This window comes from Homo sapiens, chromosome 2 (genome assembly GCF_000001405.40).
Source record: "Homo sapiens chromosome 2, GRCh38.p14 Primary Assembly".
NCBI lineage: Eukaryota > Metazoa > Chordata > Mammalia > Primates > Hominidae > Homo > Homo sapiens.
This window is the reverse complement of record NC_000002.12, coordinates 191,669,871-191,687,042: the sequence shown is the minus strand read 5'-3', so window position 1 is coordinate 191,687,042 and position 17,172 is coordinate 191,669,871. Positions and strand designations below refer to the sequence as shown.

General features: G+C 39.1%; 1 protein-coding gene across 7 annotated transcripts, besides 9 other annotated features; it reads right to left on the bottom strand.

Annotated features, from left to right (window-relative positions):
* Window positions 1–99: 99 nt before the first annotated feature.
* On the bottom strand, window positions 100–8,907 carry NABP1 (nucleic acid binding protein 1). 7 transcript variants are annotated; one of them, NR_045623.3, is made up of 7 exons: window positions 8,338–8,907; window positions 7,915–8,053; window positions 5,026–5,097; window positions 4,448–4,551; window positions 3,239–3,314; window positions 2,747–2,813; window positions 100–1,444 (listed from the first exon to the last, which is right to left on the bottom strand). NR_045623.3 is itself a non-coding variant. In NM_001031716.5 (6 exons), exons 1-6 carry the CDS (start codon window positions 8,426–8,428, stop codon window positions 1,275–1,277), a joined length of 615 nt encoding a protein of 204 aa, NP_001026886.1. In that variant the 5' UTR covers window positions 8,429–8,907; the 3' UTR covers window positions 100–1,274. The 7 variants fall into 7 exon arrangements, 4 of the variants coding, with proteins under 4 accessions (NP_001026886.1, NP_001241665.1, XP_047301488.1 ...); NR_045622.3 differs by having other exon boundaries at window positions 8,802–8,907; NM_001031716.5 differs by lacking the exon at window positions 4,448–4,551.
* Window positions 6,537–7,736: an enhancer, noted in NCBI's record as "CDK7 strongly-dependent group 2 enhancer chr2:192544033-192545232 (GRCh37/hg19 assembly coordinates)". NCBI's record gives its function as "activates an origin of replication core promoter dependent on BRD2, BRD4, P300/CBP, MED14 and CDK7 cofactors, with strong dependence on CDK7, by STARR-seq in HCT116 cells {active_cell/tissue: HCT116}" and the evidence as "EXISTENCE:reporter gene assay evidence [ECO:0000049][PMID:35650434]".
* Window positions 8,206–8,265: a silencer, noted in NCBI's record as "silent region_12197". NCBI's record gives its function as "represses an Ori minimal core promoter by ATAC-STARR-seq in GM12878 lymphoblastoid cells {active_cell/tissue: GM12878}" and the evidence as "EXISTENCE:reporter gene assay evidence [ECO:0000049][PMID:35858748]".
* Window positions 8,564–9,066: an enhancer, noted in NCBI's record as "H3K27ac hESC enhancer chr2:192542703-192543205 (GRCh37/hg19 assembly coordinates)". NCBI's record gives its function as "activates a minimal SCP1, AML or CMV promoter by ChIP-STARR-seq in primed H9 embryonic stem cells {active_cell/tissue: H9 hESC(primed)}" and the evidence as "EXISTENCE:reporter gene assay evidence [ECO:0000049][PMID:30033119]".
* Window positions 8,564–9,215: a biological region, named in NCBI's record as "H3K27ac hESC enhancer GRCh37_chr2:192542703-192543205".
* Window positions 8,866–9,215: a silencer, noted in NCBI's record as "silent region_12196". NCBI's record gives its function as "represses an Ori minimal core promoter by ATAC-STARR-seq in GM12878 lymphoblastoid cells {active_cell/tissue: GM12878}" and the evidence as "EXISTENCE:reporter gene assay evidence [ECO:0000049][PMID:35858748]".
* Window positions 9,276–9,355: an enhancer, noted in NCBI's record as "active region_16883". NCBI's record gives its function as "activates an Ori minimal core promoter by ATAC-STARR-seq in GM12878 lymphoblastoid cells {active_cell/tissue: GM12878}" and the evidence as "EXISTENCE:reporter gene assay evidence [ECO:0000049][PMID:35858748]".
* Window positions 10,949–11,058: an enhancer, noted in NCBI's record as "active region_16882". NCBI's record gives its function as "activates an Ori minimal core promoter by ATAC-STARR-seq in GM12878 lymphoblastoid cells {active_cell/tissue: GM12878}" and the evidence as "EXISTENCE:reporter gene assay evidence [ECO:0000049][PMID:35858748]".
* Window positions 10,949–11,300: a biological region, named in NCBI's record as "Sharpr-MPRA regulatory region 14503".
* Window positions 11,006–11,300: a silencer, noted in NCBI's record as "tiled region #14503; HepG2 Repressive non-DNase unmatched - State 22:ReprW". NCBI's record gives its function as "represses a minimal TATA promoter and a strong SV40 promoter by Sharpr-MPRA in HepG2 cells {active_cell/tissue: HepG2}" and the evidence as "EXISTENCE:reporter gene assay evidence [ECO:0000049][PMID:27701403]".

Below are 17,172 nucleotides of genomic sequence, written 5' to 3'. Positions count from 1 at the left end.
ATGCAGAGCTAAGTAACCATGAGGTTGATACCATCACTACAACAGTAGTTAAGATGTACTGGCTCTCCACTGTAAGTCATTGAAAGGGCAAAAATTACGTAGGTTTGTTAACATTAACACATGCTTTATTCAAGAGATAATATTCAAAGAGTTAAATCCTAAGAGTTATCCACCCTACAGTAAAAAGGGGAAGTGGGTACCACTTATGACATGTACATAAATTCCACTTTTATATTTCTGAATAAAGCTGCAATTGCTTCTTTGATAGAGCCATTTCTTAAAACTTTTGCTAATAAGGCTATGTGAACTGTGTTCAGAAACTTTGACAACATGCACACTCACTCCTCTCAAAGTCAGTACCCAGGATTTTCACTCCAGGCTGAGTACCTATTAAGTAACTAGGACTTCAGACTGCATGTTACTATATGAATTCAATTTGACTCACCTCCAGTATGTTTATCTACCACAACTATTGTTTAAAATAATCAGATGAATGTTTATCATAACTTTATAACTCCCCCAAATTATACTTCAGTATTTAACATGGTAGTTTCAAAAAATAAATATTCAAGGCCCCAGTTTTAAATTTTCCTCCAATGTAATCCACAAAGTTGATAATACATGTTAGGAGCACTACTCTAAAATAAATGTAGCTTTCTTTTAAAATTACTTGTTGCAATAGAGATCACATTCTATTCCAAATTCTGATAAGGAATCTGTTTTTTTGGTAATACAACAAAAATTTGGGATGAGTCAGTCCTTGGAAAATCTTAATAGTAGTCACTGAACGAAGTCAATCATTCCGAGAGCCACAAACACTCAAAAATTACTGCTAGCATTGACAAGTTCTTGTGTTTTTTGATGGTTATTGCTTTAGTTGGCAATATCTGAATACAAGACAAAAGAACATCTCCCATTAAGCCTTATGTTAAATATTACAAAACTTATACAGAAGATAGACTCATAGAGGCTATAAAGCTGATGTCTTAAGTAACTCACCCATGAAATGGGTGCAGGTTTTTTAAAGGCTATCCAATAATCTTTTTACTCTAAAAATAAATGCCCCTACTTTTCAGTGTTCCCATTCTTCAACAGGAGACTCGAGCAGCTTAACAGTTTTGCTATAAAAACAAACCATTCTTCTTAACAAACCAAGAATATAAAAGGAAACCCAATAAAGGACGTACTTTTCACAGTTAACAATAAATAAAAGTGCAATAAGTGTTCAAGTAGGGCATGTAGTATAAAAACTACACATGAGTATTTAGCATAGGTCATCTTTTAAAGGCTCTCCGAGGGTCCCTGCCATTACTTATTGTGGTCATCACTGTTTGATTACTAGCTGTTCCTTGTAGTTGTGGATTTATAAGTCCCCGGCCATTGCTTCTGCCAGCATGTGAAAACTGGTGTTCCCTTGATTCAGGGCCAGTGTGAACACCATTTCCTAAAAAAGAATACAAAAATTCATCACTATTTTCAGAGGTAGTCTATAGAAGTAGAACTATCTTAAGTGCCAACATGTTATTAATGCTTAAAAATATTAAAGCACACACTTTTATTTTTATACAGAAAAAAAAAACAATGTGGGCTCTAAGTTTTTCCAAATGTATTGCTATAAATATGCTAACTTGATGCTGTATTAATAGAGAGAAAAAAGCCAACTTGGGCATCAAAATTAGAAATTAATAGAGTAAAAAAATGCATTGCCTACACTATAAAAGAAAAAGAAAGGGCAAAATAGTGAATATTGGAATTTGGCTCAAATATGATTAATATCTCAAAACAGACAATGTTATTCTAACTTTTTAAAGGCAAAGGCAGCGTTTCCCACAATGTGATCAGCAATGCCAAGACATGTAGCCTTCGAGTCAAATAAAACATGAGCTGGCCAGGTTCAGTGGCTCACGCCTGTATGTAATCCCAGCACTTTAGGACGCCGAGGCAGGTGGATCATTTGAGGTCAGGAGTTCGAGACTAGCCTGGCCCATATGGTGAAATCCCATCTCTATTAAAAATATAAAAATTAGCTGGGTGGTAGTGGTGCACATCTGTAATCCCAGCTACTTGGGAGGCTGAGGCAGGAGAATCACTTGAGCCTGCGAGGTGGAGGTTGCGATGAGCCAAGATCACGCCACTGCACTCCAGTCTGGGCAACAGCGTAAGACCCTGTCTCAAAAACAAAACAAAACCAAAACATGAGCCATCCTAATGAACTCTAATCACAAAAGACTGACTTTTCCTCATATATTTAAGAAAAAAGACTTCAGAAGACCTTTAACAGAGCTACAAGGATCATGAACATGATGTCTGGGGGTCATGTTAAATGACATCTGAGGGTCACTAGCCTTTAAACGGCTCAGCTCATCTTTTAAAGCAGCAGCTACTTGTATGTGAAAAATTAAGGTGAACTATGACTCTAAAGATAAAACGCTTTCAGTGCACCAAAATAACCAGTAATTCTGCATCTACTATAAGTAATCACTAGATTATAGAAATTTTATAGGAATCAATAAAAAAAAAATAGCATGGTATCTCTTCACGGACATCACAAAAACTTAGAATTCTCAATAAACTGGCTTAAGTTTATCAACTTTCTAGAAAATCAGCCCTTTGGGGATTCCCTGTTTACTGGTAGTTCACCTTTATCACTAATTTATGCCTAAAGACGTTGCTTTTCACGTGAATCTTTACAGCTCTCTTCATTCTTATACCTGATCACAAATGAAACACACAAACAAAATCTTACCCACTGGTCCAAATGTACCTGTACCCATATTACTATTCATGGAATTATTCTTCTGTTCACTCTGTGCCTAAAAAAAAGTTTTTAATTTAACCAAACGAGAATAAAAACACAATTATATTATTACAACATTATTATATCCTTTCTTTTTTAAAGTTTTGGGTTTGGCTTTTTTTTTTTTTTTAATTAACAAATTTTTTAAAGATTTTTCCTAGGTCATTAAAGGTTATAATGTTAAGAAACGTTTCCCAAACCTTTCAGAGCTCTGTTACATCCTATTTCCTGATAATTACTCAGCACACCACAAAGTGCAAAATGGCACATATATCTAGTAGATGACACCTCAGATACATATCCTCACAAAACATACAATAAAAATTAAGTATCCTTTTAAAAATTATCTTCTTTATACTAAGTATCAACAGGGCTAGCCTAATCATAGAATTATAACACAGTCAAAATTAGCCTAATCATAAAAGTATACTACACAATTACCCCTTTGTTCTGCTGTCCTCGATAATCTGGGTTGGGTTCACTGAAATTTGGCACTTCTGAATAAACCATACAAAATCTGAAAGAAAATAAAGAAAAAATTAAATGACTTCTGAAATAAAGTCCTCAACCCTTCTTTATGTAACATCTCTAACTTTTAGGAATGAACTTATGTGTCAAACAAATTAATAGCAACAAACTAACTCTTCATTTACAACAAAAACTTCCCAAATGATTATGTCCCATAAAACATCAAATATTTGACTGTCTACAAGATATATAACATTCTATTTTGTATTTAAATTCTTCTTTAGTGCTGAAAAAAAAATCACATCAAAAATCAAGGACACAAAAACATCTCTGTCCTGTTTTTCCACAAAAGCTGATCAAAGGAAAAATAACATGAGAGTGAACCATGTTTAGGGTTCCAGGGTGGTTTCTCCAGCAGTGGTAATGGATTTGCACCGATCCATTCACCCACTCCCATTCAGTCCCTCTTTTGATCGATCACTGTGGATCTGCAAAGATAATCATTTAGGGTTAAGAGTGGTTTCTAGGCAATAAATAATAACAACAGGCTACATAGCCACCAGTTTATCCAAGTGCTTCCTGTAAGTTGACCATATAATGTGTACTAACATTACAAAGAAGCATTTTATTACTCCTCACCATACTGAAGACAAATCAGAACCAGTTTTGGTAAATCCTCGACTGACCCTGACAAAGAGCAGTCATTAAGAAATGAGTGACCTCTAACGGTTTTTCACGTAACTGACCTCCATTATTATCAACACCTCTGTATGAATACATGAAGGTCAGGACAGAATCCTGAACCTTTCAGTAACAGACACTAAGACCTTTCATAACACATAACTCTATTAATGCTACTCTAAGTGAATCCTAACTTCCCTTCTAACAAAGGCAAAGCGTTAAGTGTTTCTGATCTTTAAAAGCTAGCATGATCATTTCTTTTCCTTCATTATTAACCACAGGTTCTCCAAATAAGCATCTTATTCCCTCAGTGGCAAACAGTTTTCCTTTTTTATCTGGTGCCATTTGTGGCTTCTCTTTTTAAATATCTTCCAATTTGACAGGCATTAAGTAGATGGCAGAGCATTAACCAAACAGAATGGACTGATGATTTGGCTCATTGCCTGTACCATACTTTATGAATACAACCCAATGTCTAGGCTAACATGGAGGCTGAATTACCTTACACCCCTAGAGAGGATGGCTCCTCCAGGTCAGGGTGGAGATCATTACCAGGGTAGTAGTGTATGGAATCTCGCATTGCGGCTGCCTGCACCGCACCTAGACTGTGGATAAATAGAGGACTTCAGTTTTCGTTGCTGCAAGTCCTTTTTAACATGAGTACATATTCACCCATAACCATAGAAAAAGAAAATTTAAACTTATGGCCTGAAACTTGGTGAATCACTAGCTTCGTATATGGTGAATCACTACAAAAGAGAATCTACTTCAAATGGCTCTTGTGACACCTAAAAAATGCACATTTCTAAAACCTACAGAAATGCTTCCACTAGGGCTGGTCTCAACTGCAGCTTCTTCTACTGCTCTTTGCCAGGAAAAATTGACACTTTTAACCACAGAAAACAGTACTGACAAGTGTTAAATTTGTATACACGAAGTTATTTTTTCAATTAAGCTACCAAAGACATTCAGTTTACTAGTCAAAAAAGCCAAAGAGGTTTACAATTCATACCTACCAATCATTCCGTAGATATTATTTATAATATATGCAATTATACAAAATGCATTTTAATACTTACTCCCCAATTTTTTGAAGTTCACCACCCCTTCCAGTATAAAGTGTCAGACATCCTTTCCACATGGATGCATACCTAGAGAGAAAAGAAACATTAATTCTTTAGAAATATATTTATTTTCTTCTATTTAAATCAAGTAAATCTTCACACTATATATTTTTTGTATTAAGGTAGAAGTGAGGATCAAGCCCTCTCTATCCACCATAGTAAATCAAATACAATAAATCTAACTTTGATAACTTGCTATTTACAAAAGAATACAAAAATTCTGTCGAATTTTGACATAATTATCTAAATCATAACAAATTCTGGAAAATAAGTCTTTTCGCAAAGCCAGTATTATTATACCCAATGATCACATCTTTAGTCAATTAACAAAACAAAAGCTTTTAATTGCAGAAATTTAAACAGAAACTATTTTTCAGCCACAAGATATGTAAAATCATCCTAATGTTTCATTTACAGTCTAGTCAAATAATGATATAACAGTTTTCCTTCTGCCTCCATAAAAGACACAGGATTCCTAAGCTACCGAAGATCTGGTAGAATTTCAAAGTGCTAAAAAAAACACTAAGGTCACAAAGCTTCACCTATCTGCCTTTCCAAACATGTGATTTTTAATACCATGCTGGGTTTGTAGTAAACAAACTGGCAAATGTTTACTCCGAACAATTTTGAAAGCAGACAGCATCACTACATAAAATAATCCTAGATATCTAAGAAAAAGGTAAATTAATATTATAAAATCAATCCAAGGTTTGGTTCTCAATGGTTCTCTGTACAACTACTATGGTAACTTCATGACTTTAACTTACTATACAGTTCTCTTTACTTTAATTAAAGGGTTATTTATTAAAGACACCATTCACCACTCTTAAGTTATACAAAGAGTGGCTTAGGATACAGTGCATTAACATTTCACCTTACTAAAATAAAAATTAACCCATATTTTGAGAAAAAATTTGGTTACAATTAAAATATTTAACATTCACTTTAAGAAATGAGAACACTGAGGTAAGTTTTCAGGGTATTCTGATAAACATGTTGATATTTGAACCATTATTTAGATGTTAGGTATGTTTTTCTTCAAAAGCTACTTTTCTTAGATTCAACCAGAATTTAAGGGCCTTAGAATGAGCCAGACTCCAAGCTGAGTGTGTTGTTTTGGTAAATAAGGTATAATTATTCCCATTTCACAGAAGAGGAAGCTGAAGTATGAGGTGTAGTAACTTCTCAAGGTCATACTGAAGTAGTAAATAGAGTTTCTATAGTTTTTAATTTTCGTTTAAATTGTACTCCCAGGTAATTGTTCCCCTTAAAATTCTATAGTACCTAACTAATAAGTTTAATTTTCCAATAATTTTTTTGATGGAAACACCTATGACTGTCACTACAGAACATGAAATACTTGAAATAAGATGCCGTTTTTAGCGTAAAAAATACTTTCAATCATTGGGTGAAAAATATTTGGGGAGCCAAAAACTCCAATTATACTAATCAATCCTCACCATACTTCCCTAAGAAGGAATTCTCTTTTGTTTTTTAAAGATGTGGAAGTTTAAATTACTGTCATGAGTCAGTGTATGAGAAGAAAATGTCTAAGTCCTGACTCTCACTTCCTGCTTTGATGACACTTTACCTCACTTCCTGAAGATGTTGTAAGCCTGCAAGGTAACACCAAGGAGCTCTAAGCTCCTACTCTCAGTGCTTTCCAATACTTCTAAGATTCTACTTATTAGGCCAACATCAATCTCCACCACTTTCCCTGCAGTTAATGATAAATTATTACAATTTTATTGATCTCAAAAGCTTCCAAATTCTGTTTTTAAGATCCTTTTCTGCCCTTTTATCTTCCTAAGATAAAAATTTGGTAAATTTCTAAAAGCAATCTATTTTTTAAAAAAAAAGTTCTAGTATTTTTTAAAGCCACCTATCCGCCAACTGACTCTTTTGGATGAAGGTATTGTAGATGCCTTTCTGCCAAACATTTTCTGTGTATCCCTTTGGTTTTTGCGCAACATCCACCTTACAGCAGAAGACACAAGAAATCATTTTGGAGAATGAGCCTTCCAGATACTGTAAAGTTTCCCTCTTTTTCCAAGTACAAATTTGACATATCACAGAATATGCTAAATCCTTTACCTATAATTTTCATTTATGTCCACATTTCTAAATAACATATGTAAAATACTGGCCAGGATTTCAAGTCATTAAAAATGGAGAAGGGGTGGGAAACAACTGAGTGGCAACTACACTAGAGAAAACAACTTATAAAAAAGAAAAAATATGGACTATACCAGTCTCCTAAAAAGACTCACTGACTCAGAATAGAACTAAAAATCTATGCCGGGCGTGGTGGCTCACGCCTGTAATCCCAGCACTTTGGGAGGTTGGGGCGCGCGGATCACTTGAGGTCAGGAGTTGGAGACCAGCCTGGGCAACACTCTGAAACCCCGTCTCTGCTAAAAATACAAAACTTAGCTGGGCGTGGTGGCACACGCCTGTAGTCCCAGCTACTTGGGAGGCTGAGGCACGAGAATCTCTTGAACCCGCGAGGCGGAGGCTGCAGTGAGGAGAGATCACGCCACTGCACTCCAGCTTGGCGACAGAGCGAGACTCGGTCCCAAAAAATAATAATAATTAAAAATCTACTTAACCTGTAAACCGGGGTAGAGGCGCGGATTTCCCAGCTGAAACCGACTGCCTTTCACTGCAAAGGTCTGTTACATCCCAGCGCTGCCCACCACCCAAAGTTAACACCAAAGGAGTTCAAAACTCCTCAAGAGTGGCCCACAGAAAAGGCGGGGGACTTCAGGGCTTGCCAAGATCCCAGGAGCCGGCCAATCCCGATTCTGCAGACTGTTAGGTCCCCCGACTTTTTTGCACACCTACCCTCTGGTCAACCGAATAATATCCCCTGGCTGTATAAGACCTCCGATCTCATCCCACACGGAAATAGTGATGCTGCCCGTTTTATCTGCTACTTTGCACGATCTCACTTCATGGCCGTCTTTGGTTTTGGTCACGCGTCCTGTGAGGATTTAAAAATCAAAGGGAGGGGTTGTTAGATAATGAGGACATCCAGAAAGGCTAACTCCTCCTCCGGTATTTTAATACATCTGGAAGGTGGGAAGTGACCAAGCCCAGGGCTCCCGCCTCAGGTAGGATCCGATCTCGGGCGGAGGCCACTAGAGCCACGTGGGTGGGGGAGGGGAGGGAGGAGGAGGGGAGCCCCGGGCGCGCAGCGGCCGGCGCCCCTGTCTCCCGCCCCGGGAGGCACAGCGGGCGGTGGAGTAGGCTGCAAACCCCACTTACCTATCTCCAGGACAATAAAGACGACATTTAAGTTTTTCAGTCCGGGCTTAATATCTCTTATAAAAATAAGTGGGTCGTTGACCCTATTCATATTGGGACAGGCGCGGCTACGGCTGCGGAGACGCGAGTGGGCAGGGCGGGGTCAAAGCTTCCCACCCTCCCGGGACAGGGGCGAAGGCAGAGGGGCGACCTTGGGCAGGGGTGGCGAGAGAAGGGGCAGAAAGCCGTTAGTCAGGGACCGGGCAAACCAGCCCGGACAGCACTGAGCCTAAAAAAAGAAAAAAAAAAAAAAAAAAAAAAAAGGCTCACAAGTTCTAAAGAAAAAAAGGCGAACCACTCCGCACACCAACCCCGCTCCCAACCGGGCGACAGGAAGGCAAGCGTACTAACTGCCCCGTTCTTTGGATAAAAGGAAAAAAAAACGCAGTGAGGGGACACTTCTGCCCTGAGTCCCGCTCACTCACACGGGCGCGCGCCCAGCCTGTCCCGGGCTCCGGGAAGGAACGGGCTGTGACAGCGAAACGGGAGCGGAGACAGAACACCGCACACCCAGCGTCCCAAACAGCGACTGATGAACACGCCCGCGCGCCGGCAGGACCCTCGGCCCGCCCCTCCCCTTGTGAAGTCACGCTGCGTCGGCACGCCTGCTGCCACGCCCGCCTGGTGCTGGGGAGGGGAAGCAAAGGGGCGGGACCCGGCCGCCGCAGCCCGCAGAGCTTCCCTCGCTCCTCCCCGGGGGCTGTCAGCGCGGGCTCCGCCCCCTCGTCCTTCCAATCGCTCTCGGCCCCGCCTCCCCCGCCCTCCCGTTCTCCACCCACTTCAGCTGTCGCCGCGCAGCAGCAGTTCTGTTCGGTTTCGCCTTCCTGCTGTGCAGTCTTTTGACGCTTGCTGTCCAACTTTGGAGTTTTCTTGCCTTTTTTTCTCTCAGAGTTGAGCCCCTGCCCGGGCCCTTTAGTCCCTCGGTCACGAGGAACGGTAGAGTTTAGAACCTGTGAGTACGTTAGAAAGTTCGCAGTCGAGGAAGAACAGGGTTCGGGCAAGGGCAGCTGGTCCGGTACCAAGGGAAAACAGGCTGGGATGGTGAAGGCGTCAGTGGCTACAAGGCTGGAAGTTTAGCACCAGAAGGGAATTTGGAGATCAATTCAACCGCCTCATTTCAGGCATACTTAAATTGAAACCCAGAAAGATGAGGTAATTTGCAGAAGGTCACCCAGCAACCCCTGAGCAGGCAGGACTGCAACACAAATGTCTGACGTGGGCTTCCACTGTGTAATGCTAAGCAGATAGGACGTAAATTCCTTTGCAGACTTCTCATTTTTCCTTACCCCCTGCCTCTCATATTACACACCTTCCCCATTTAGCTTTTCTTCTTTTACTTTGCACTTGCTTTTGTACATCTAAAAGGAATTAATTATTCAACAGCAGTGGGAACCCTTGAAACATAATCTGGAAAAAAAGATTAATAAAGTTTTTTTTATGTCGCGTAGTGAAAAGAGCATGTGCTTTAGAGACAAACCTGGGCTCCAGCTATTTACTTGTGAGAGCTTTAGGTCAATTGGCTTTTATTACAGCTTTTTAACCATAATAAAATGGGGATCCCTGCCTAGCAGAAGATTGATTAAATGGATCATAAATTGTCCAACTAGTGCCTAGCAAATAGTACATACTCAGTATTTTCCCCTTTTTAATCCCCGTTTTACAGGCGATGGAACTCACCAGAGACCAGATAGCTAGAGAATGGCTGAGCTGGGTTTTAAATCTAGTCAATCTTGACCCCAGAGCTCTCCAGCCTAAAGGTAATGTTTAGACTTAACTTCCAGTGGTGTCATTATAAGAGTCAAAAACAGACTGAAGAAATAAAATAGCAGAATAAAGTAGTGGGGCATTAAAGAATCATCTAGTTAATTCTTGGTGATGATAACAGAAATGTTGGGAAAAGTGTCAGAAGCCTTAATTTTCTCCCCATTCTTTCTGAGTATCTTTAGATCAACCACCACTTCCCAAGTATTTGCAAACAAGCAGCATAGATATTATAGCCCTAGAAAGAGTTGGAAACATTATCACAACATTAGCAAGAGAGTCAAGGCATTTTTAAGGAAACAGAAGCTTCCATTTCATGAACTAATAAAGCCCAAGGTGCCAAAGACACTGATGTCATACTGGAAAGTGGTGTAAAATAAAATTATAAGCATAATTTCAACATCAAATAAAACAAATGATGAAACATGCCAGTTAATGGCAGAGCCAGCGTCCAACCTCAATCCCAATCCAGCTCAGAAGCTCTAATTCTACCATGGTTATCTGGCAGGACTTGACACTTCAATTGGATTGTACTCAAAGCTGTATTTTCTTAAACAGGCAAAATATTCTCACAGAAGCAATATTTAAGGCAGAGCTCTTTTTTTTTTTTTTTAAGGTTTGACAAGATCTTCAAAAGATTAAGAATAGACAGGAAACCAATTAAGAATGTTAAGAGTTACGGCCAAGAGTTTGGGCAAAGAAAGTTTGCCACTCAACTCTCAATCATTTGCCCCCAGAAAAGGGATTAGGTTGGGCTGTTCAGGCTAATTATATGAACATTTTATAAAAAGAAATCAGACACAGAAAATCAAGCCCCACAAAAGCAGAAGCTGGTACTCCAAGCTGTGGCTCAGCCCTTCCCTTCCCCCACAGGACAGAACTCAGCTGAACATCTACTTCCTTCCCTACTAACTCAGCAGTTCTCAGAAAGGAAATGGCAACCATATGCTTTCTCATTAACCAAAACGAAAGGCAGCCTTGAGAAACAAGATGGTCTGGGCAATACAGAAACTGTTCAGCCCAGGCTAGTTGGTTTCAGCTACCTCTAAATCACTCCCAAAGATGTGGTTAATAAAAAGAAAAAGGAGATGTCAAGGAGACAATTATTGCTAGGCAGATATCTTTTCTTATATTACCATTCAGTGAAATAGATCTGCCACTCAGTCTACTCATTTAGGTCATAATGATTATATTGCTGATTCTTTAATACATACACAAGATTACTTCATGGTCTTCTTTTCTCTAAGGCTGTTGTTCTTCAAGCCTTCATTTTTCACAGCCTAAACATAAGCTTACTCTGAGATGATGGACTCTTCCACTTTACATCCAGAACCTCAACACCATGTTTTAGTGTAAAGATGCTTAGTGAGATCCACTGTAATACAGAAGGGCATCCATTAGAATCCTGGACATAGAAGGTTCTGTTATCTGGGTCCTCATTGATAAAGGTTTTGTTGTAAATTTTACCCAGCACTCAGTACCCATGCTCACTCCCAGGTTTTGGTTTCTGGAATTACCAAAATTATTTTCACTTTGTTTTCACTATCCATCTATTTAAAACTATTACAACATCAATGAAACAGTTGTTTGTACCAAGTACTGTTTGATTTTAAATATCTTGTATAGTGAAACTTAACAATTTAAAAAATTAACAAGAACCACAGTGTGCTCACTCACCTTACAGGTATAATCCACTTTGTAACATAATTGGCAACTAAAAAAACAAAAAAAAAAAACTCAAACAAATAGTATTTTCTTAATTTCCCTAAAACAATTTAACCAAAAGACTCAGAAGTAATGTTTAGTAATGATTGCAGCAACAGCCACACAAATCATCCCTATAGTGATAAATGCAAATACACTGAGCACTTGCTATGGGCCAGGCATTTTACACTTATAAGCACTTTACACTATTTTGGGTTTTGTTTTTGTATTGGAGACAAGGTCTCACTCTGTCACCCACCCGGGCTGGATGCAGTGGCTGCACCATAGCTCACTGTAATCTGGAACTCCTCTGCTAAAGTGATCCTCCAGGTTCAGCCTCCCAAGTAGCTGGGACTACAGGTGTGCACCACCACGCCTTAGCTAATTGTTTTATTTTGTGTAGAGATGGAATCACACTGTGTTGCTCAGGCTGGTCTCAAACTCCTGAGCTCATGCGATCCTCCCGTCTCAGTCACCCAAAGTGCTGGGATTACAGGCATGAGCCACCAGACATGGTCTGATTTACACTTTTTGATGTGTTACTTATGTGAAGTGATTGATCTCATTTTATAGTAAGTTATGAAGCTTGCATTTCAAAATAACTGCCTGTTACATGTAATAACTTTTTCTACAAAAAAAGGTTATTTGCCCCAAAAAGTGCATGTCTTTGTTTATCTAAATGGGTAATTGCATTTTTCGAAGGCTTTGTAATTCACAGTGATAAGTGCAGTTAATATGTTATCTGATCCCCCAAATCTGATTGCGTGGGGATAGTGAAATCTACTTGTGAGGAATGACCCTGTAGTTTCCCTTGGGAAAAAATGCATCCCTAAATGGGTTAATTCAACTCAGCTACATTATCTTTTTTATTATTATTATTATTATTTTAGACAGGGTCTTGTCATCCAGGCTGGAATGCAGAGGTGCAATCACAATTCACTACAGCCTCGATTTCCCAGGCTCAAGCAGTCCTCCTGCCTCAGCCTCCCATATAGCTGAGACTGCAGGCACATGCCACCACACCTGGCTGATTATTTTTATTTTTTAGTAGAGACCAGGTCTCACCGTGTTGCCCAGGCTGGTCTCAAACTCCTGGGCTCAAGCAATCCTCCTGCCTTGGACTCCCAACGTTCTGGTATTACAGGCATGAGCCACTGTGCCCAGCATCTTTTTAATGATATTTAATGATAGAGTGAACAACTTTGGCTTCTGTGTTCTAAAAAGCTTTTCAAATGTATCATACCTCAAATAGGTACCTGGATTTATTGTTTATTCAGATTAAGAAAATATTATTAGCAAATGAACTAATTGAAGACTGATGGGACAACATACGGTGCCAAAATGCTTCAAAAAGAGTTGCTTGCTACTGTTTTCTGATGTTTCCCCATGTCCTATGTATAAAATGAATAAATAAATAACAGTTTTTAAAAATCCAGCTGGCCCAGTTGCAGAGCCCTGTTCCTTAACAGGCCCTACAAGGAGTATGTGACAGTATGTATAGGAGACTAATATCATGCCTGACATGTTGGAGTAGAAGGCTTGGTGTCTCTTTCTAGAATTCTGATTTACTATTGTGGTTTCTCTATAATAAAGATGGATGCCTTTTCTTATTTTGGAGCATTATCAAGCTCACATACATGCACACAAACATACGCCAGTAAATCACCAGGAAGAAAGAGTAAATGCTTTCAAACAAACCCCTAATTAAGAGTATTACCCATAGGAGCACAGCATATCCCAGTGGGAAGGATGCTTACAGGTAATGTACGCTAACCCTTTCACATTGTGTATGAAAAAAATACAAGCCCAGAGATGTTAACAAGATTACCACCTAGAGCCCCTAATGAACTAATGGATCTCAGTAACTTCACCAAAGGCTGCTAATATCACAAAAAGAGAGACAACCAGTCCAAAACAATTAAATCAATATCTCCCAAGGTAGGACTCAGTCATCAACATATTTTATTTTATTTTATTTTATATATATATATATATATTTTTTTTTTATTATACTTTAAGTTCTAGGGTACATGTGCACAACATGCAGATTAGTTATATGTATACATGTGCCATGTTGGTGTGCTGCACCCATTAACTCGTCATTTACATTAGGTATACCTCCTACTGCTATCCCTCCCCACTCCCCCAACCCCACAACAGGCCCTGATGTGTGATGTCCCCCTTCCTGTGTCCAAGTGTCCTCATTGTTCAGTTCCCACCCATGAGTGAGAACATGCGGTTTGTTTTTTTGTCCTTGCAATAGTTTGCTGAGAATGATGGTTTCCAGCTTCACCCATGTCCCTACAAAGGACATGAACTCATCTTTTTTTATGGCTGCATAGTATTCCATGGTGTATATGTGCCACATTTTCTCAATCCAGTCTATCATTGTTGGACATTTTAGTTGGTTCCAAGTCTTTGCTATTGTGAATAGTACCTCAATGAACATAACGTGTGCATGTGTCTTTATAGCAACATGACTTATAATCCTTTGGGTGTATACCCAGTAATGGGATGGCTGGGTCAAATGGCATTTCTAGTTCTAGATCCCTGAGGAATCGCCACACTGACTTCCACCATGGTTGAACCAGTTTACAGTCCCACCAACAGTGTAAAAGTGTTTCTATTTCTCCACATCCTCTCCAGCACCTGTTGTTTCCTGACTTTTTAATGATCGCCATTCTAACTGGTGTGAGATGGTATCTCATTGTGGTTTTGATTTGCATTTTTCTGATGGCCAGTGATGATGAGCATTTTTTCATGTGTCTGTTGACTGCATAAATGTCTTCTTTTGAGAAATGTCTGTTCATATCCTTCGCCCACTTGATGGGGTTGTTTTTTTCTTGTAAATTTGTTTGAGTTCTTTGTAGGTTCTGGATATTAGCCCTTTGTCAGATGAGTAGATTGCAAAAATTTTCTCCCATTCTGTAGGTTGCCTGTTCACTCTGATGGTAGTTTCTTTTGCTGTGCAGAAGCTCTTTAGTTTAATTAGATCCCATTTGTCAATTTTGGCTTTTGTTGCCGTTGCTTTTGGTGTTTTAGACATGAAGTCCTTGCCCATCCCTATGTCCTGAATGGTATTGCCTAGGTTTTCTTCTAGGGTTTTTATGGTTTTAGGTCTAACGTTTAAGTCTTTAATCCATCTTGAATTAATTTTTGTATAAGGTGTAAGGAAGGGATCCAGTTTCAGCTTTCTACATATGGCTAGCCAGTTTTCCCAGCACCATTTGTTAAATAGGGAATCCTTTCCCCATTTCTTGTTTTTGTCAGGTTTGACGCAGATCAGATAGTTGTAGATGTGTGGTATTATTTCTGAGGGCTCTGTTCTGTTCCACTGATCTATATCTCTGTTTTGGTACCAGTACCATGCTGTTTTGGTTACTGTAGCCTTGTAGTATAGTTTGAAATCAGGTAGCGTGATGCCTCCAGCTTTGTTCTTTTGGCTTAGGATTGACTTGGCAATGCAGGCTCTTTTTTGGTTCCATATGAACTTTAAAGTAGTTTTTTCCAATTCTGTGAAGAAAGACATTGGTAGCTTGATGGGGATGGCACTGAATCTATAAATTACCTTGAGCAGTATGGCCATTTTCAAGATATTGATTCTTCCTATCCATGAGCATGGAATGCTCTTCCATTTGTTTGTATCCTCTTTTATTTCATTGAGCAGTGGTTTGTAGTTCTCCTTGAAGAGGTCCTTCACATCCCTTGTAAGTTGGATTCCTAGGTATTTTATTCTCTTTGAAGCAATTGTGAATGGGAGTTCACTCATGATTTGGCTCTCTGTTTGTCTGTTATTGGTGTATAAGAATGCTTGTGATTTTTGCACATCGATTTTGTATCCTGAGACTTTGCTGAAGTTGCTTATCAGCTTAAGGAGATTTTGGGCAGTCATCAACATATTTTAAAACTCCAAAACTCCCTAAGTAATGACAATGTGCAACCAAGTCTGAAAACCAGGCTAAGATTTTTTTTTAAATAATTTTCTTTGTTTTCCAAATACCTATTAATATGCTGGAGCAATGTTTCCTTTATATTAGTTAGGGAAATCCTGCATTGATATATTTCTAGGAGTGAAATTATTAAGTATATATTTAAGACTTCTGGTATGTATTATCAAATTACATTTTAGGAATTTCAAAAGAGATTTGCACTCCATTTTCCCTTTGTATATATGCATTAAACATAATTCATTAATTTATTCAACAAAATTTTATTGAACTACTACTACATGCCAGCACTGGGACTACATCAGTAAAAAAAAAAATACAAAAATCCCAGACTTCATGGAGCTTACAGTCTAAAGAGATAGACAATAAAATAAATAAGTAAAATTATGTAGTATATATTAGTGAAAAATAAAGCAGGGGAAGAGATGAGGATTTAGCAGGTAGGAGTGTAGAAAGTGGTGAGGGAAGGTGATATTTGAGTAAAGAAACAAAGAAGGGGAGGGAGGGAGCCAGGTGGGTATCTAGTATAAGGCACTCCAGACATAGGGAGGGCCATTGAAAAGACCCAAGTATCTCTGGCTTTTTCCAGGAATAGCAAGAAAGCTGCTGTAGCTGAAGCAGTGAGTAAGCAGAAAGTTTAGAAGATGCAGGGACCAGGGGAGAGGGCAGGGGTATCATATATGAAGATTTTGTGCTGATCTTGGCTTCTTAATTCGAGACAGGAATCTATTGGAGTGTTTTAAGCAAAGACTTGACATGCTAACCTGACTTAAAAGAGTCACTCTGACTGTTGGGTGGAGAGCAAAAGGAGCAAGGGTGGAAGCAGGAAAATCAGGAGGCATCATATTAATCCACTTGTGATGAGTGGTGGCTTGCACTGGGGTGGTAGCAGTGACAATGGTATAATGTGATCAGCATCTGAATCTATGTAGAAGATAGAGCAAACAGGTCCACTGTCTGGCTGCAGTGGAGCATGAGAGAATGAGATGAGTCAAATATGACCTCCAGATTTTGGGTCTGAGCAACTGGTAAGATGGAGTTGTCATTAACAGAAATGGGGAGGAATACAAGTGGAGCAGTTTAGGGGATGTGGAAAGATCAGGAGGATCATTTTAGACATAAGAAGTGAGATGGGAAGAACACAGCAAGGTGAGTGGTGTGTTGGATGCCAAGTGAATCAAATGTTTCTGGGAAGAGGGGGTGACAGTTGTGTCAAATGCTGCTGATCAAGTGAGATGAAACAGGATTGATTACAGGGTTTAGCAAAAACGAAGATCATTGGTGACTTTGACAATGAAGTTGGTGAAGGATGAAAGACTAAATAAGTTGAGTTCAAGAGAGAACAGAAGTTCATAAATTGGAAATGTGAAAGTAAGTGCATATA